At 38.3% G+C, this 21019-nt stretch overlaps 1 protein-coding gene across 24 annotated transcripts in view; it reads left to right on the top strand.

The window, feature by feature from the left end:
- The window catches only part of MICU1 (mitochondrial calcium uptake 1), a 258740-nt gene that overhangs the window by 117502 nt on the left and 120219 nt on the right, over positions 1 to 21019 (top strand). For 19 of the 24 annotated variants that reach the window (NR_199811.1, NR_199809.1, NR_199810.1 and 16 more), the window contains one exon: positions 309 to 423. The exons of 4 other annotated variants lie outside the window; for them this stretch is intronic. Coding sequence is in view for 15 of the 20 variants with exons in the window: in NM_001441228.1 (NP_001428157.1) it covers positions 309 to 423 (115 nt within the window). In the remaining 5 variants the exon portion in view is untranslated. The remainder of the gene's footprint in view (positions 1 to 308; positions 424 to 21019) is intronic. One more of the 24 variants, NM_001441224.1, reaches the window with a different exon arrangement.

The following is a 21019-nucleotide window of genomic DNA, read 5'->3' as shown; positions in this document are numbered from 1 at the left end:
TTTCAAACTAAGAAACAAAACCTGTTCTGAAGTGGGCCTGTATATGTGCAATGGCAGAGGGTTCTAACATTGAAATTATTTTCTAATGTTCATATTGAACTAGTGTTGAAATGAAAACATAATTTTTGTCTTAAAATTTTCATCATCTTGAAAACTGTAAAGGATCCATTGATTTTGAATGGCCATGAGAGAAATGCTTATGATAAATAGCATAAAACTGTCAGATAAATGGTGATTCATCTCTTACTATTTATATTCTAATTCACTTATATATTTTTGTCTTTTGGTGGGACCCATACATTCTATAGAAAATTTCCCAGGAACGAGAAAAATTTGCTGATGAAGGCAGTATATTTTACACCCTTGGAGAATGTGGGCTCATATCCTTTTCAGACTACATTTTCCTCACAACTGTTCTTTCCAGTAAGTATAAACGTTTTCTTTTTCCATTTGTAGAGCAGATACAGGACTATAAACATAATTGTTTATATGTTTATAAAACAAGACATATTGGTAGAGTTAATGAATTATAATGAATTATAAGTTACATAAAATTTCATTTGCTTTTAATTTACTGTAACTTGGGTATAGAACCACCTGAGAGAGGCAGAAAGAAGAGAAAACTAAAGTATCAAAGTAAAGTTAAAAACAAAACAAAACGGCTGGGCACAGTGGCTCACACTTGTAATTCCAGAACTTTGGGAGATCAAGGTGGGCAGATCACTTGAACTCAGGAGTTCAAGACCAGCCTGGGCAACATGGTGAAACCCCATCTCTACAAAAGCATACGTGTAGTCCTAGCTACTTAGGAGGCTGAAGTGGGAGGATAGCCTGAGCCTGGGAGGCGGAGGTTGCAGTGAGCTGAGATGAGGCCACCACCCTCCAGCCTGGGCAACAGAGTGACACCCTGTCTCAAAAACAACAGCAGCAAAAAAACTAAGAAGTGACATCTACCTTTAACTGTCTGTCACTCTGTATTCTGTCAAGGTGAGTCATGTATTGCTTACTACTATATCCTTCATTAACTTACTGCTTCTCCAATAACACATATTTTGATCTATCATTTCCTCCACTAAAGAAGAAAATTGGCTTGGTTGACCTAATTGAGTTGAATATTTGTTTTTTAACCTTGGAGGAATACTTCTGAAGACACAAAACTCAATTTTGACTCACTTAGAGCATTGAGGAGTTTCTGATTTTTTAAAACTATCAATAGCTTTGTTGATTAGTATGCTACTCTAAGTGATTTTAAATTTTATTACTTTTTGATGTGACTTTTTTTAACCATTCAGAAAAACTAAACAAAATGTTATGTTCATAGCTCTCCATGTGTAGTCTATTAAAATCTACCTAAGGTGAACCAGAGTTCAGATTTGTATGTTTGAAATAAGTGATTTGCAATTTTTTTTTTTTTTGGTCTGGGACATATCAAACAAAAATAACCCTCTCTTTTTCACCTTCTCCAAGCCAGCCATCTGTAAACATAAAGCTACTAGAAGATAGTTTTTAATAAGTGGCATATACATGTCCTGCCATGACTGTGACCACTTTCGTTCTTATTCCTCTGTGTAAGTGTGTAAGGATTGACAAGGAAATTATATATATATATGTATATGCCTTGCCACAGCTGACTTTGGGACACCAAAGTGTCTGAATAAATTCATACGGTGGAGCAGTACCCTGGCAATGAAAATACACATTGATTTGTTATGAAAATCCAAAATAACTCCAGCAGCATACAACTTAAGATCATAATGTACTTTTAAAAGCATCTCTAGTTCAGATCCCAGCCCCACCATTTCTTAGCTTGTGATTTGGGGGAAGACAATAGATTTGTTCTTCTGTTGTGTCTGTAAAATGAAGGGGGCAGTAATATCAAACCCAAATTATTTATTTGAGAATGATGACATCATGAATATAAAGTAGCTATTAATAGTTTAGTGCCTAATATTTAGTGGAAATCTGTCTTGGTTTTTATTTTTTTATTCTGTCACAACATGTTACTTTGTGTCTGATTTTTAAAGATCCATAAACCTTATCTTTTTTAAAAAATGACCCAAATTGGTGGGAATTTTTAAAACATTTTTGTGACTTTGGACAGAATTTATTATACAGCAAATAGCCATGATGTAGCAGAAAGACTATGGCATTAAATGAAGAGACCTGCATTGGTATAAAATGTATACTTGTAAGTAGTTGTAGCAAATGTTTGTTGAGCTGAAATAAGCTTTGAACTTGTGTCCACTGCTTAGTCCTGTTAACTTCATATCTTTCCAAATGTCAGAAGGAACACAGAACAGAACCTTCAGAGTACCTGGTACATCGCATAGCTCCCTTAACCACTTAAAAGCTTGTTTTTAAAAAGTCACAATGACCCTTGGGTTCTAGAAACCCCTCCAAGTAGCTCTGCCATTCCCAGCACATTTACTTTATGGTGCTCAACTCCTAGTTTGAATGTGGTGAGTGATTTACAATGAAGTGCTTACTTTGTAAGTTACTTTCTATGTTTGTCAGGAATGAAGAAAATAGAATCAGGGTATGATTTTAAGAGTCTCTTTATCACTAGTTTTTTTTTTTTTTTGCTTGCTTGTTTTTTGTTTTTATAATTTCAACTTTTATTTTAGATTCAGAGAGGACACGTACAAGTTTGTTATATGATATTGGGTGATGCTGACGTTTGGGTATGAATGATTTCATCTCCCAGATAGTGAGCATAGTACCCAATAGGTAGGTTTTCAGCCCTTGTCCCCCTCCCGCTCTACCCTCTGTAGTAGTCCCTAGTGTCAGTTGTTCCCATCTTTATGTCCACATGTACCCAGTGTTTAGCTCCCACTTATAAATGAGAACGTGCGGTATTTGGTTTTCTGTTCCTGTGTTAATTTACTTAGGATGATGGCCTCTGGCTACATCCATGTTGCTGCAGAGGGCATTATTTCATTCTTGTTCATGACCGTGTAGTATTCCATAGTGTTGTGTACCACATTTTCTCTATCCAGTCCACCACTGATGGGCACCTAGGTTGATTCTGTGTCTTTGCTATTATGAATAAATCTGCGATGAACATACAAGTGCATGTGTCTTTTTGGTAGAACGATTTATTTTCCTTTGGGTATGTATCCAGTAATGGGATTACTGGGTTGAATGGTAGTTCTGTTTGTAGTTCTTAGAGAAATCGTCAAACTGGTTTCCACAGTGGCTGAAGTGATTTACATTCCCACCAACAGTGTATGAGGATTCCCTTTTCTCTGCAGCCTCGTCAGCATCTCTTATCTTTTGTGTTTTTAATAATAGCCATTCTAGGCTGGGCATGGTAGCTCATGCCTATAATCCCAGCACTTTGGGAGGCCAAGGCAGGCAGATCACTTGAGGTCAGGAGTTCAAGATCAGCCTGGCCAACATGGTGAAACCCCATCTCTACTAAAAAAAAAATACAAAAATTAGCCAGGTGTGGTGGTGGGTGCCTGTAATCCCAGCTACTCAGGAGGCTAAGGCAGGAGAATCACTTGAACCCGGGAGGTGGAGGTTGCAGTGAGCCGAGATCACACTCCACTGCACTCCAGCCTGAGAGACAGTGCAAAACTCCATCTCGAAAATAATAATAATAATAATAATAATGATAATAATAGCCATTCTGACCGGTGTGAGATGGCATCTCATTGTAGCTTTGATTTGCATTTCTCTGATGATTAGTGATACTGAGCATTTTTTCATGTTTGTTGGCTGCTTATGTGTCTTCTTTTGAGAAGGATCTATCCATGTCCTTTGCCCACTTTTAATGAGGTTATTTGCTTTTTTGCTTGTTGAGTTATTTAAGCTCCTTATAGATTCTGGATGTTAGACCATTGTCAGATGCATAGTTTGTGAATATTTTCCCCCATTCTGTAGTTTGTCTGTTTACTTTGTTGATGGTTTCTTTTGCTTTGCAGAGACTCTTTAGTTTAATTAGGTCTCACTTGTCAATTTTTGCCTTTGTTGAAATTGCTTTTGGGGAATAACTCATAAATTTCGCCCCAAAGTTGATGTCTAGAATGGTATTTCCTAGGTTTTCTTCTAGGATTTTTATAGTTTGAGGTCCTACATTTCAATCTTTAATCCATCTTGAGTTAATTTTTGTATATGATGCAAGGTAAGGGTCCAGTTTCATTCTTCTGCATATGGCTAGCTAGTTATCTCTGCACCATTTATTAAATAGGGAGTCCTTTCTCCATTGTTTATTTTTGTCAGCTTAGTTGAAAATAAGATGGTTGTAAGTGTACAGCTTTATTTCCGGGTTTTCTGTTCTATTCCATTGGTCTATGTGTCTGTTTTTGTACCAGGACCATGCTGTTTTGGTTACTGTAGCTTTATAGTATAGTTTGTAATGTGATACCTCTGGGTTTCCTCTTTTCGCTTAGGATTGCTTTGGCTATTCAGGCTCTTTTTTGATTCCATATGAACTTTAGAATAGTTTTTTTCTGATTTTGTGAAAAATGACATTGGTAATTTATTAGTAATAGCATTGAATCTGTAGATTCCTTTGGGCAGTATGGTCATTTTAACAATATTAATTCTGCCAACCCATGAGTATGGCATGTTTTTCCATTTGGTTGTATCATTTCTGATTTCTTTCAGCAGTGTTTTGTGGTTCTCCTTGTAGAGATCTTTCACCTTCTTGGTCACGTATATTCCTAGGGTGTATGTGTGTGTGTGTGTGTGTGTGTGTGTGTGTGTGTCTATTGTAAATGGAATTGAGTTCTTGATTTGGCTCTCAGCTTGAAAGTTATTGGTGTGTAAAAATGCTACTGATTTTTGTACATTGATTTTGTATCCTGAAACTTCAGTAAAGTCATTTTTCAGGTCTAGGAGCCTTTTGGCAGAGTATTTTGGGTTTTCTAGGTATAGAATCATATTGTCAGTGAAGAGATAATGTGGCTTCTTATTTCCCTATTTGGATGCCTTTTATTTTTTTCTCTTGCCTGATATTACTACTGGTTTTAAACATTTGATTATAACATGCCTTTAGGATTTCTCACTCTTAGCACTGTTGATATTTTGGGCAGGATAATTCATTATTGTGAGGGCTGTCCAGTTCACTTTAGGATATTTAGCAACATTCCTGACCTCTGCTTGCTAGATGCCAGCAGCACAGCCTACACCCTCCCCCAGCTATGACAAGCAAAACTGTCTCCAGATATTGCTAAATGTCGTCTATGTGCTGGGGGTGGGGAAGAATCATCCCTGTCTGAGAACCACTTGTTTATTTTTGGCACATGTTCTTTTTAATTATGATGTGCCTTGATGCAGTTTTCTTCATGTTTCTTGTCTTTGGGTTCATTGAGCTTTTTAGACCTGTGCCTTTATATGTTTCTTCAAATACTTTTTCTATGATCTCCCTTCCTCTCCCGCTGAGACTCCAGTGACATATTTTCCTCAAATCAACCCTATAAGTTTATACTATTGTTACTTTCATTTTACAAATGAGGAAATTGAGGCATACAGAGGGTTAAAGAACCTGTCCCTAGACCCACAGTGAGTAAGGAGACAGTTTAGGATTCGAACCCAGGCCAACCCCAGCATCTGGGCTCCTGTCACTTGACATTACTGCTGTGGTCACATATTCAGCAGTGTTAAGCTGTAACTTCAGTGCTGCTTCTTTGTCTAAGGCTGAACTACGGAAAGGCTGGTCATAAACTCTCCTATAGATAGTGGGCAGTTCAAGCATCCTTGCAATCTGAGTTTTGCACACTGCATTGTCTACTTTATCTATTATAACAAGATGGGGAGAAATATGAGAAATGACATTGAGATCAGTTCTTTCCCATGTTCAGATTGCCGCTAGGATGACAGGAAATGAGGCACTCAGTGACTCTCCTTTCTTGTGGGTAACAAGGGATCATTACAGTCTAAATACACTAAATGGTTCCCAAGTCATCTGCGAGAGGGCACCCAATACCCTAGGGAAAATCTTTGCCAGGGAGTGGCTTGGGAATAGGGAAAGTACATTAGCATATGCATTCATCTGTTACTCTGATGGATAGCAGGGCCACAGAAAACCAGCTAGAACAGTGCAAAGGGCATCAGCCAGATGCTGTGGGACCGCCATATTTCTGAGGAGCTGTTTTCATTCAAAGTTAACGGAATAAGGCTGGGCGCGGTGGCTCACACCTGTAATCTCGGCACTTTGGGAGGCTGAGGTGGGTGGATAACTTGAGGTCAGGAGTTCGAGACCAGCCTGGCCAACATGGCGAAACCCCATCTCCACTAAAAAATACAAAAATTAGCCGGGCATGGTGGTACATACCTGTAGTCCCAGCTACTCAGGAGGCTGAGGCAGGAAAATTGCTTAAACCTGGGAAGCAGAGGTTGCAGTGAGCTGAGGTTGCGCCACTGCACTCCAGCCTGGAAGACAGAGCGAGACTGACTCAAAAAAAAAAAAAAAACAAAAAAAAAAACAGCAAAACAAAGTTAATGAACTCACAGGTGTTCAAGAAATCGCCATCATTTTGAAGAATATGAACACTGTGCTCTAATGGATTGAAACTTGAATCCTCAAAGTAGCTTATGAACTACTATGTGGTCTAAAATAAAAGTCAACAACTACATATAGGAAATCATGTGGGTTTTTTTCTTGACTTAAAAATAAAATTAAGAAAGCTGTTTTTCTAAAGAAAGCATGTTATGCAATATAATTTCTTCCATTAGAGTTAATTCTTCTTATTTAAACTTTTTGGAAGTTTGGTTTTTCTAAATAAGAGTTTCTAGGACACGTATCCAGAATAACAATCAATCTGGCAGAAATATCTCGTGCTTACAATAAGCAGTGGCATGAATTTCTTACTCTTCTCTGTATGTGATTCGGGTAATGGGCCTTCCTTGGCCAACCTACACGTTTAAACACCTTTTATTCCATTTCACTCATACAACACACATCTCCTAAACCTCTTTCTTTATTTTTTCTCCTTGGCACATATCACTATTTAACATTTCATATAATTTATTTTTTATACTGTTATTGTCCATTTTCCAATCTAGAATATAAGCTGCATGACTGATTATAAATTTGTAATGATATTCACTACAGACATATCTATATTAAGCATGGTGGCAAGGTAACAGAGCAAGAATATAACATATGTTGTTTTTTTCATTTTATTAAAAAAAAAAAACCTTTAGCAAACTTAAGACTCTACTTTGCTGTTGATATCCTAAATTTAGAATAGTCCTTGTAGCTGTTGATGTCTTCAGTCTGTACCCAGTACCAGTGAAATGAGGAAAATGTGTATTTTAATTAATCTATTCCCAAACAAGCTTGGTTTCTTATAATTCAGAATTCATATATTTGTATCCCCTCTTTACTCCTAACTCATACATTCTATTGCTTTAAACCTTATCTCTCTAATCAGCTTTGATGGATTAACTTGAAGAATTTTCAGCATGAGCCATAGCATCCATATTAAATAGAATATTAAGTATTTACTAGATAACTACTCATTAATAAAATGAATTCAGATTCATTCTAGGCAAGATGAAGAGACTGTTAATAATTATTATTAAATAATTTCCAAGGACTGCTGATTCTTAAAGTAAGTTAATAAGAATTGAGTGGGAATAAACAAGCATGGTTATTAGTAGCTTACTTCTCTGCACTAACCAACTGGAACATTAGCTGATGGTCTTAAATTTTATACACAGAAGTCAGAGATTTTTCTGCATAACTAGATATAGAGAAGGGTTATCAGAATTTCTTTGGAATGCTAAATATTATTTATTGACTTGGATCATTCTTACTAATGCTAAGATTCACTAGGTAATGGTAATATAACTTAGAATTTGGCCCTTGGCCATTGACAATTATGAAATATTATTGTGTGTTCTTTGTCTTCATATATGTTCAATCTAAAGTTATTAACCCTGTGGGCTAATAACATGAAAACAATTCTAGATAGCTTGATGGGGAGGCAATAATAAAACATTTATAATTGGGCACAGTGGCTCATGCTTGTAATCCCAGCACTTTGGGAGGCTGAGGCAGGAAGATCATTCGAGGTCAGGAGTTGGAGACCAGCCTGGCCAACATGGTGAAACCTTGTCTCTACTAAAAATACAAAAATTACCTGGGTATGGTGGTGAGTACCTGTAATCCCAGCTATTAGGGAGCTGAGAAACAAGAATCGCTTGAACCTGGGAGGCAGAGGTTAGTGATCCGGCAGTGAGCTGAGATCACGCCACTGCACCCTAGCCTGGGCAACAAAGCAAGACTGTCTCAAAAAAAAAAAAAAAAAAAAAAAAAAAAAAATATATATATATATATATATATATATATATATATATATATATGTATGTATGTATGTATATAATAGTTTATCATTAAGCAACTTCCTTACTTTTTACTATTAATCTTTGAAAAGCTACCAGAAAAATCAAAGCAAAAATGTTTGGTACCCAGGGCTTTAAAATTTGGAGGCAGACTTAATGAAAATCTGGCATAATTCATTATATTCTCATTTTGATTATCTCTTTAGATTTTAGAGAATCAGTGGAGAAATTGAATTAAGTGTTTTCACAGTAGCCAGATTTGATTTACTGAAAATTAAGCTACATCCTCATTATGATGCATCTTTCTCACAAATATACAAGCCTTTTGAGATATTACAATAGCATTCAAGTGAAGTTGTGTAATATCTTATTTCTCTTGCCATGCTGAAGTCAAGAGCAGATCACAAAGTGTATGTGACTTGGAAAGTGTGGTGCTGATCAGTGCCATTCCATCTAATGAAAATGTTATAAAAGTTTTAGATGAAAATAAGTTTTTCAGGTCGAGTGATGTATTGAAAAATATGGGCAAGGCCTAACAGATGAGATGTATCAACAGGTATAAAGCAGTTACAAATCCTTCTTACTGGGACATCAGAGTTGGGGAAGTTACACAGAAAATTTGGTTTAGCTATTATCTTCATAATTTCTATGTCTGGAAATTATCTGCCATTGCTAAATTGATGTTATGAAGAATAAGATTAAGAAGGTAAAAGGCTAATCTTTTTCAGTGTTATTTTAGCCTATGAGAGGTGCTTAGAATTTCTGAAATACTCATTTGCATATTGTAAGGCCAAAAGTATCACAATGTGTTATTTACCAATAACTTCCTTTTCTGGCATAACCTGTTTTTGTGGTTAATTCATTGGTTTTATGATAATGCAGCTTCTGTCAAAACATTAAAATAATGCTTTGAAATATATCAAGTTATTTATAGATGATGTTGAATTCATTCAAGCAAGAAAGAAGTGGCAGTTGTGTTTAATCTCTCAAATCTGCTTGTGACTATTCTAGAATATTAAAATATTTTTTAATCTGAAAAAGGAAATTTATCCTTTGGGAATAATTGCTTGTGATTTGTTCAAGGCTAAGCAGAGAACAGAGAGGGCAAAGAAGCAAATTGTGGCTTATAAGAAAAATAAGATCTAAATGTATTTTGACTGTATCTTGAGGGCGATTTTATAATTTTTTACCCTTGAGGTTCTCCTTATTAGCCTTTCATACTTGTATTTTATTTGAATCAGTCCAGCCTCATTGTTTTGAAAATAATAATATTCTTATAATGTAATAAAATTCTAATATTCATTTAAAATGTTGTGGAAATATAGTTACAGACACGTGATTTCTGGAGCCCTACCCTTTTAATACAAATAGTCAAGATGGGGCTATGCTCTAAAAAGAAAGGAGTATGGAACGAGGTGGTCAGGAGTATGCTATATGGGCTGATACTGCCACCAGAATTATGTCTGCATAAATTTTGTCCTCTCTTGAATAGCATATGTCGCCCTGTAAAGCTTTCTGTGACTTTTCCATGGAATCAATTCCTTGTGGTATCTGAGGATCAAATGGGAGATATTGAAGAGAGGAGGTTTGCCCTTGGTTCTCCTTCTCTGCTCCTTAGGCTCTCAGAAAGGAAAGCCTAACAGGAAAGCAGGGAGTAAATCCGAAGGCTTCTTTTTTTCTTTCTTTCTTTCTTTTTTGATACAGAGTCTTATTCTGTCACCGAGGCTGGAGTGCAATGGCGCTATCTCAAGTCACTGCAACCTCCGCCTCCTGGGTTCAAGCCATTCTCCTTCCTCAACCTCCCAAGTAGCTGGGACTACAGGCACGCATCACCACACCTGGCTAATTTTTGTACTTTTAATAGAGACGGGGTTTCACCGTGTTGGCCAGGCTGGTCTCGACCTCCTGACCTCAGGTGATCCGCCCACCTTGGCCTCCCAAAGTGCTGGGATTACAGGTGTGAGCCACTGTGCCCGGCCCAGGCTTCCTTCTTTCTTAGGCCTCATTTATCAGTGGGAGAAAGTAGATGGAGCAGGAAAAGTAAAACTTCAAAACAGGCTAAATTTTCTGCCTTCTAGAAACTGACCTAACATGTAAAAGTATTCCTTCTTCTCATCTGACTTGTCCAATCAAAATTATCCTTCTCCTAGGATATCTCAACTAGAATTTTATTTTTTGTCATAATTTAAAAGCAATGTTCACATTAAATCATGAATGAATGATGGTGTCCCATAACAGCTACAGAAATATTTACATGAAAGTCCTTGTTAATTCAAAAGAATCTCTAAGTAAGAAGAAAACTTAGGCAGTGGATAGGACATCATTAAATAATATCTTGAAGTGGGAACTATGTCATATGGCTTTGTATTTCCAGAGCACCTGATATTGTATTTAGCTAGTGGTAATTCTAAAAATATTTGAATGAAAGCATATTTGAGATGTGGCTTCTTTGAGTTCTTTCTAGGTAGAAAGGAGACCCAGGCACCCATCTATCACTATACCATTGATTACAGTGTCAAGTGGACCTCAGTGGGCCTTTCTGCCATAGTCTCCCCTTCATTACCCTAGAGCAAACTGTGGAGACTTGCCCTGATCCCAGTTCCTTAGAACTCTTCTCACTTATCCTATCTTCCTCAGCCTCTGCTCTGTCCTGTTTTTCTTCTACTGATGGTTGGGATGGCTCTGAAGAAATTTAGCCCTCAATAATTGATGATATTTAAAGATGATGTTTGCTTTTGGTCTGCGAGCCCCACATTTTCACATTGTCTGCCTCTTAGAAGCGAGACCGGAATCAAATGTATTGGTCCATCTGTATAGCTGGACCTTTCATTTAAACCCTCGGCTTAATAGTGTTTGATTATGCTTACGTCTTATCATGGTGTTGCTTAACCTGCTTCTGGAACAACTTATAAAGATGCTTATTTGGGCTGGGCGTGGTGGCTCACACCTGTAATCCCAGCACTTTAGGAGGCTGAGGTGGGTGGATCACGAGGTCAGGAGTTCAAGACAAGCCTGGCCAAGATGGTGAAACGCCATCTCTACTAAAAATACAAAAATTAGCCGGATGCAGTGGCATGTGCCTGTAATCCCAGCTACTCAGGAGGCTGAGGCAGGAGAATTGCTTGAACCCAGGAGGCAGAGGTAGCAGTGAGCTGAGATGGCGCCACCACACTCCAGCCTGGGCGACGGAGTGAGACTCCATCTCAAAAAAAAAAAAGAAAACTCTTATTTGTTTTGTTGGGGAATTTAAAGGGTACACAAAGGGAATCAAGGCAGGAAATAGTGGTTGTCATTGAATGGTTTGCCTGATACTGCCTGTTTTGGAGAAGATATTGATACAGCACATTGTCTGGCATATAGTAAGAATTCCATATATATTTGTTGGCTAAATAAATATCTGAGAATTTTTCTGGCCGGGCACAGTGGCTCACTCCTGTAATCCCAGCACTTTGAGAGGCCAAAGCAGGTGGATCACTTGAACCCAAGAGATCGAGACCAGGCTTGGCAACATAGTGAAACTCTGTCTCTATTAAACATACAAAAATTAGGCCAGGCACGGTGGCTCACGCCTGTAATCCCAGCACTTTGGGAGGCCAAGGTGGGTGGATCACCTGAGGTCAAGTGTTTGAGGCCAGCCTGGCTAACATGGTGAAACCCAGTCTCTACAAAAATTAGCTGGGCAGTCAGGCACGGTGGCCCATGCCTATAATCTCAGCACTTTGGGAGGTGAAGGCAGGTGGATCACTTGAGGTGAGGAGTTCAAGACCAGCCTGGCCAACATAATGAAACCCCATCTCTACTAAAAATACAAAAATTAACCAGGTGTGGTGGCGCATGCCTGTAATCCCAGCTATTCAGGAGGCTGAGGCAGGAGAATCGCTTGAACCCAGGAGGTGGAGGTTGCAGTGAGCCAAGATCATGCCATTGCACTCCAGCCTGGGCGTCAGAACAAGACTCTGTCTCGGAAAAAAAAAAAAAAAAAGGAATTAGCCAGGCGTGGTGGCACATGCCTATATTATCCCAGCTGCTCAGGAGGCTGAGGCAGAATAATTGCTTGAACCTGGGAGGTGGCAGTTGCAGTGAACCGAGATTGTGCCACTGCACTCCAGCCTAGGCGACAGAGCAAAACTCCAACTCAAAATAAATAAATAAGCCTGGTGTGGTGTTGTGTGCCTGTGGTTCCAGCTAATTGCGAGGCTGAGGTGGGAGGATCGCTTGAGACCAGGAGACAGAGGTTGCAGTGAGCTGAGATCACACCACTGCACTCTAGCCTGGGTGACAGAGCAGGACCTTGTCTCAAAAAAAAAAAAAATTCCAAATGATGACTTAGTATGAATACCATAATTTACCATAATTTTATATTGCTCCAGGCATCCTCAGTATCCCGTCTAGCATTTTTAAATGTCTTAAGGGACCAGTTATTTTCTATGTATGTATACATGATAAAAGCTAGAAAATTAGTTAGACTGTCTAAATTTTTCTGTTTGAACACTAAATTGAAAACAGTTTTTGGGTGAATGCCAAACTTAGTCACATCTAAAGAGTGTCATTAGCATAGGTTAAGTCACAAAAATCTAATTTCTTTATTACGGTAGCTAGTTGTCTTTTTTTTTTTTTTTTTTTTTTTGAGACAGAGGTTCACTCTTGTTGCCCAGGCTGGAGTACAATGGTACAATCTTGGCTCACTGCAACCTCTGCCTCCCAGGTTCAAGTGATTCTCCTGCCTCAGCTTCCAAGTAGCTGAAATTACAGGCACCCGCCACCACGCTCAGCTAATTTTTGTACTTTTAGTAGAGAGCAGGTTTCACCATGTTGGCCGTGCTAGTCTTGAACTCCTGTCTTCAGGTGATCCATCCGCCTTGGGCTCCCAAAGTGCTGGGATTACAGGCGTGAGCCACTGCACCCAGCCTAAAGTAGCTAGTTCTAAGCATCTATGCAATAAATTGCATCTTGGCATAAGCCGTCACTTTGGCTATTATTGAGCACATGGTATGGAATAAAAAACCACATGAAATGAAATTCAAGCAGATGATTTTTTTTTTTTTTTTTAGATCTCTGAAGTTAGGGATGGGGGTCTATTATGCAGACATGTAATTTGGGCATAAAATAGTAACATGAATTTGAAGAAAATATATTCCTAAAGTAGAAAAGCACTGGCTTGCCTTCTAGAATCTGTCACCCAGGAACTCTTGGGAAATCCAAGCTTTTTGACATCACTGATATTGAATAATCTTTCTATAACACAACTGTCAAATAACAGTGTAAGGAAAACCAGTTTAAATAAAAGACTATTTCTGGCAGCTCTCTGAAAGTCATCTAATAACTGAGGCTGAGATAAAGCTCATAGATAGGCTGTACACTGTGAAGTAGAAACATCAGCTATTTCTTTTCTTTAGATGTGAAATTATACATGGTTTTTTGTTTTGTTTTTTTTTTTTTTAGAATCAGGGCTGAAGTGTATTTTTTGGAAAAAATGTAAATGAAAGAAAAACAGTTGTTAGAAGGAATAAATGCCTGTATAGCCGAAGCCTTGCTGGAGGAATTCAAGAAAAGTCTCACAATCTTCTTATGAAATTTTAAAACCCTTTTGTTGTTGTTGTTCTTTTTTTTTTTAATTTTATTTTCGGGTTCTTAACATGTAGTATTTCATATTATTTAGGAAAACTTGCCGATTGCCATTAAGTAGATCACACTGATAACGAATAAAGAGCTCTTTTTAGCCATTGCAGAGATAATATGTAATGATAATAAGCTTATAGTAACCATCCTATGTAATTTCATTGTCTTAGGATTTTCAAACACTAGCAAGACTGAGTTCAATATGAATTTTAAGTCTGTTTGGAGAATATACATTACATTTCTAAGTGTTTTTTCTTTATGTTCAGAATTTATTCGAGTAGAAACATGGGTCGCCTGACTAGATTGTCCCTAGAAGTCTGCCAGAAACTGCAGCTTAACTGCCTCCCTCCTATTTTAATGGAGACTAACTACCCTTTGACTGTCTATGGACCAGAAATTCCCAGGGCATGGGCTTGTCTAAGAACTATGCGAAATGCCAGCATTCTGGCTCTACCTTATGTCTTAGGCAGCTTTACCCCCAGGTCGGCCCTAAGGTTAAATTGTCCTAGAGTTGTGCACATTCCCCAAAACTGTATGAGGTAAAGTCTTTCCTAAGCTTAGACCACTCCCAGAGGTCTAAAGAACTCCAAGAAACTGAAATAAAGATTAGGGTTGATTACCTCTTTGAAGAGGCAATTTTCCTCCTCTCGTTTCACTACCAAATTCATAGTGTTCCCAAAACCATTTGTATGCCAGGATTAACTATTGGAATTGACCCTTAAATTTAATTGACTATATAGTATTGGTGAGAGCATAAATTATTGGCAAAACCTTTTCAGCGTCTTGATGGTGTTTACCAGACACTTTCAAATTTTGGTCCAGCAATTCCTTTTCTACATGTTTAGGCTAATAAAATAATCACATGTATAATGATGTTGACGGTCAAAAAATAAACTAGAAAGAACTCAGGCCAGGCATGGTGACTCACACCTGTAATCCTAGCACTTCGGAGACCAAGGCGGGCAGAACGCTTGAGCCCAGTAGTTCAATCAAGACCAGCCTGGGCAACATGGCGAAACCATGTCTCTACAAAAAATACACAAATTAGTCAGGCATGGTGATGGGCACCCATAGTCCTAGCTACTCAGGAGGCTGAGGTGGGAGAATCACCTGAGCCCAGCAGGTCAAGGCTTTGATAAGCTGTGATTGTGCTACTGCACTCCATCCTGGGTGACAGAGTGATACCCTGTTTCAATAAAATAATAAAATAAAGTAAAATAATTAAAAAACAAATACACACATAAAAATAAACGAGAAAGAACTCAAATATCAAACAATGGCTAAACCAGTTAAAATAAATCTGTGCAATGACATTTTATATAGTTCTTAATATAATGTATGTAATGCAGAGATTTATTAGCATAGAAAAATATTCATAATGATGACTCAAAACATACCTATTATTCTGTTTTGGAAAGTGGGGGAAAAATTGTGTGTGTATGTGTGTGTGGGTGTGTGTGTGTGTGTATACACATGTACATGCATACATATACATCTTATTATTTTTTGAAATGGAGTTTTGCTAATTACTGCTATTTCACAATACTAGTTAAGGATGTTTGGGGGGTAAGCAGGCTGGAGTGCAATGGCACAATTTTGGCTCACTGCCACCTCTGCCTCCTAGGTTCAAGTCATTCTCCTGCCTCAGCCTCCCGAGTAGCTGGGATTACAGGCATGCACCACCATGCCCGGCTAATTTTTGTATTTTTAGTAGAGATGGGGTTTCACCATGTTGGCCAGACTGGTCTTGAACTCCTGACCTCAAGTGATCCACTCGCCTCGGCCTCCCAAAGTGTTGGGATTACAGGCGTGAGCCACCACACCTGGCCCATATACATTTTATTTTATTTTATTTTATTTTATTTTATTTTATTCTATTCTATTTTTATTTTATTTATTTTGAGACAGAGTCTTGCTCTGTCGCCCAGGCTGGAGTGCAGTGGCATGATCTCTGCTCACTGAAGCCTCCACCTCCCGGGTTCAAGCAATTCTCCTGCCTCAGCCTCCCGAGTAGCTGGGATTACAGGCATATGCCACCACACCCAGCTAATTTTTGTATTTTTATTAGAGACAGAGTTTCACCATGTTGGTCAGGCTGGTCTTGAACTCCTGACCTCAGGTGATCCATCCGCCTCAACCTCCCAACGTGCTGGGATTACAGGCAGGAGCCACCACGCCCAGCCCATATGCATTTTAAAAATAATCTTAATAATTGTATTTCCAATCTGTCAGCAAAATTGTCAATTCTACCATGAAGTAATCCAGAACCCCACCATTTTTCACTACACTCGCTACTACTACCCATGTCTAAGACATTCTCATATCTCTCGGATTATTTCCGTACCCTCCCGATTGGTTACCGCTTTTTCCCCCTTGCTTTTCTAGTCTACTTGCAATACAGCAGCGAGAATGATCTTGTTAAATTTAAATAAGATCATTCCACTGCCCAAAAATCCCCCAAAGACTTCCAGTCCGTCTCAGAGTAAAGCCAAAGTCTTTATTTACAGTGGCCTACAAGGACCCGTCTGTTAGTCTAACCACCATTCCTTTTAAGAAAAATCATATACTGGCGGGCACTAGAATTTACTATGCTGTTTTTCTTTTTTCACTTAAGCACAGTGAAAAGAATAGCTACTCTAATTACTGCTAATTCACAATACTAGTTAGGGATGTTTGGAGGGGGATAAGCATAGTTTATTAAGCCCTCTAATGGTTTTTTAAACTTTTATATCTATTTTTAACACCTCATAAAGTTAATTATTTTTTAGTGTTTGCAAAGCCTATCTTGTAGTCACGCCTGTGTTTATGGTACTGTAGAATTCCAAAAGTTCATTTTACTAGTATCTCTGTACGCAGAAATTAAAAAAAAAGGAAAGAATATTAGATTCTTATAATGAAGAAACATAGTGATTTAGAGTTACACTTGAATGTATGTATGTACCTAGAGTACCTCCATGGGCTAAATACTTTGAATGTCTGATCTGTTATATAGGACCAGATTAGTTACATTAACTCTCGAACTCCGGGCCTGAAGTGATCCACCTGCATCAGCATCCCAAAGTGCTGGAATTACAGGTGTGAGCGACCACACCTGACCCAAGTTACATTAACTCTCTAAGGCCCCTAGACAATTACATAATTAATGTTAGTCTTTCTGTGCTCACTTGTCTGTCACAGAGTTGCTTTTAAGCTGGGTGAATATGAATCCATGGGAGAGAGGATTTTGAGTGCCTCCTTTTAAGAAAAGCAATGGTCCCAAATCCAGATATATGAAGCAGGTAAACTAAAGGGTAATTATTTTTCCACAGATGGAGTCACTGCAGTGTTTTCTTAAATAGTTTCTTTCCAACTCTAGGCTATGTGTAAAGTAATATTAATATTTAACTGTATTTGATTCTAATGAAAAGAAATTGGCTTACAGACTTAGGAGAATAACAAATTATCTATTGGGGCTTATTGCAAAATAAGTGAATCATCCAACTTGTCTCAGCACCCAGAGACGGAACTGTTTAAAGCATTAAGCATTGTTTCATCTTGACCACATTGGTCTCACAGACAGGGTCATCGGTCTTCTTGTTCTATGGTAAATTGATCAGGAAATCCTCCTTTGGCCTTTTATGGGACTGTCCCGGTTCATAATTCTGTTTGGTGTTTGGCTCCTTAGGCTTTCCAGTGGTGGAACGTCAGTGAAAAACACAGGCTTCCTTTGGGCTCTTTCCACTAGTAGGAGGAAGCCCTCAGATCTGGACGAAGACAAATTGAGGGGAAAAAACGGGTCCTTGGTGAAATGTCAAAGGAGATTAAACTCGCTGCCTCCTAGGCAGTTCTTCATCCAACAAAATTACTTTTTCCCCTTTGTTGTGCAAAGGGCACATGGACACACATACCATTGGTGCTATATAGTGTAAACACAATCTAAAATAAGGTCTAGAGGGGAACTCACAGGCAGAAGAGCAGCAAAATTGCCCAACCCCCATCCTCTTGCCATTGTGCAGAAAAGTATGCTTAGTTGGGTCAGACAAGCTAGAACACATCATGGAAAGGACCCCCATAACTCTCTCTGTAATTACAAGGACAGGAGGCAGGAAACATCCAGGAGTCTGTGGAACAAAGGGAACTTCGTGGGTGACAATGTGGTCTTGTTAGAAAAAGGGACCCTCCAAAGCTCCACAGGTAGTATCAGCCTCTTCTTCCATTGAGCTAATTCAGATCTACAGTGCGAACTTTTTGCTGAGGTACCAAAGATACATCTGTATTTATCTCTTCTCACTCTTCCTTCCAGATATTTTTCTTAGTATTATGTGTTATTTGACATCAAAATCTTGTGTCTAAAGGGAAAGTTTTGGAATAAAACTGATTTGTTTTTCCCTTGGTTCTTTCACCTACATCTTGTTCAGCAAGTAATAAATATATGCATACATACATATACATACATACATAGACATATATATATGTAGAGCAGCTACAGTCTAATGGAGGGAGGAGGCATATAAAATAATGATTGATAGATTTTAAAAGTGCGTCTTAAGTCCTGTGTGTAAATGAATATTGTCCTTCTCAAAGTAATTTCTTCCTTTCCCACTATTTGGTCCCTCCCTGCAAACACAAGGCATTTAGTCAAGGGCTTAAAGGCAGCTTTACATACTAAAAAATACCAACATTCTTCAACTTCCAAAACTGTCTGAACCAATCATTGGTTTCATGTGGTGTTTTTTGTTTCCAAGAAATTTCGGAAAGATGACTTCCCAGTTGTATTTATATACACCGTATCTCCCAGATGTGGCTTAAATTTCTCAGTGATTTATCTTCCTATTCTTCAAGCTAATCATTCAAGTATATCTTTTGTGTTGATTGTGGTCATGGCAGTAATCATTTAATTTAACAAGTCCTGGCTTTTTTCTGTTGTTGAGGATTTCACATTTAATTCTGATTATTAGAAAAACATACAGGGTGGAGACCAAATGAAAAATGTACCTGAAAGCAGAACTAGAAATGAGGGGTGGACTGATGGGTTTTAAATATAAAAATGAGTTTTATATTCCAGAGACTTAAGTTTGCAAAGTTGTAAACTATCTAGCCTTATTGTACCCTTTTGTAGCAAAGAATATCCCTTTCTAGTTAATTCAGCCTGTTATGTATGTGTTTCATCCTGGCAGCCATTCATCAGGGCTCTGGATCCATACCACCAAGGTTCATATCCCAGCTCTACCATTTATTGGCCACGTAAATAAACCTCAATTTCCTCATCTGTAGTATTACTACAACTATCTACCTTATAGAGTTGTTATGAGGATTAAATGGATTAAGATATATAAGTTAGTTCCTTTTTTTTTTATTTTTGTGTGTGTGTGTGTGTGTGTGTGTGTGTGTGTGACAGAGTCTCGCTCTGTCACCCAGGCTAGAGTGGTGCAGTGGCACCATCTCAGCTTACTGCAACCTCTGCCTCCCAGGTTTTAAGCGATTCTCGTGCCTCAGCCTCCCAAGTAGCTGGGATTACCCGCATGTGCCACTATGCCCAGCTAGTTTTTGTATCTTTTAGTAGAGATGGGGTTGGGGTTTGTTGGCCACGCTGGTCTTGAACGCCTAACCTCAAGTGATCCACCTGCCTCAGCCTCCCAAAGTGCTGGGATTACAGGCATGAGCTACAGTGCCCGGCCTTGTAAGCTACATCTAAGTAACAGTGCCTGACCCACATGGTGAGCCCTAAGTAATCGTTAGTTATTATTTTTAAATTAATGTAATATTTCTAAGAACCCTAAATGGTTATTGCATGAGGAGAATAGATATTTTGTCTGGTATAGTCTTGGGCTTGAACCCATTTCAAATCCTAATTCCTCCATACTTTCTCAATAACTCCAGACTTACCTTGATCTTGCCTCAAAAAACATTTCATTTTGTCAATAGAAACTATAGGCCAAGAGGGAAGAGGAGTAATTAGGAAGATGCTGGTGCAGCTTGTCAAGTATTTTAGTTTCCCAGTTTAAAATCTGTTAAATCTCCCTTGACTGGAGCAGTGGGGAAAAAAAAAATCTGTTACATATGCATTTTATAACTGAACCTGTTATTGCTAGTAGCAATTCTGAAAGCTTTGGTTCATTTCCTTGGATTTTTTAGGAAGACATTTATAGTATCTGCAAATAATGATAATATAATATTTTTCTCTTTTCTAACTTGTGTACTTCATTATATGTTGCTTTGGCTAGAACTTTCAATATAGTAGCAGTAGTAATGACCATACTGACGTGTTAAAATAAATGTGTCTGGCATTTTTCAATTAAGCATATGGTAAATCTTAGTTTCAGATAAATATTCTTTGCCATATTACAGAAGTACTTTTTCAAAAAATATTCTTTTCCATATTACAGAAGTACTTTTTCAAGTTTTTATTAAACTTTTTAATAAAAAGATATACAAGTAGGAACTTATATATATTCAATTTTTTTTTAATTTTTTTTTCTTTTTTTTTTTTTGAGATGGAGTTTTGCTCTTGTTGCCCAGGCTGGAGTGCAATGGTGCAATCTCAGCTCACCGCAACCTCTGCCTCCTGGGTTCAAGCAATTCTGCCTCAGCCTCCCGAGTAGCTGGGATTACAGGCATGTGCCACCACGCCTGGCTAATTTTGTATTTTTAGTAGAGACGGGGTTTCTCCATGTTGGGCAGGCTGGTCTCGAACTCCTGACCTCATGTGATCCACCTGCCTTGGCCTCCCAAAGTGCTAGGATTACAGGTGTGAGCCACCACATCCAGACTTTTTTACATTATTAACTGAAGAAAAATAGATGCCCTTTACAGATTTTTTTAAGATTAAGAAACAAAAAGAAGTCAGAAGGAGTAGATCAGGACTGTAAAGTGGACGTCTAATGACTTCCCATTGAAGCTCTCACAAAGTTGCCCTTGTTTGTTGAGGAATAAGCAGGACATTGTTGTGGTAGAGAAGAAATCTGGTGAAGCTTTCCAAAAGGGTATTTTTCTGCTAAAGCTTTGGCTTTCTCAAAACATTCTCACGAGGAGATATTATCATTCTCCTTCAGAAGAGATAACATCTCCTTTGGCCCTTCAGAAAGTCAGCAAGCAAAATGCCTTGAGCATCCCAAAAACTCCTGCC

Source organism: Homo sapiens, chromosome 10 (genome assembly GCF_000001405.40).
Source record: "Homo sapiens chromosome 10, GRCh38.p14 Primary Assembly".
NCBI classification, from domain to species: domain Eukaryota; kingdom Metazoa; phylum Chordata; class Mammalia; order Primates; family Hominidae; genus Homo; species Homo sapiens.
Note: the sequence above shows the minus strand (reverse complement) of the source record. Positions and strands in the feature narration are given on the sequence as shown.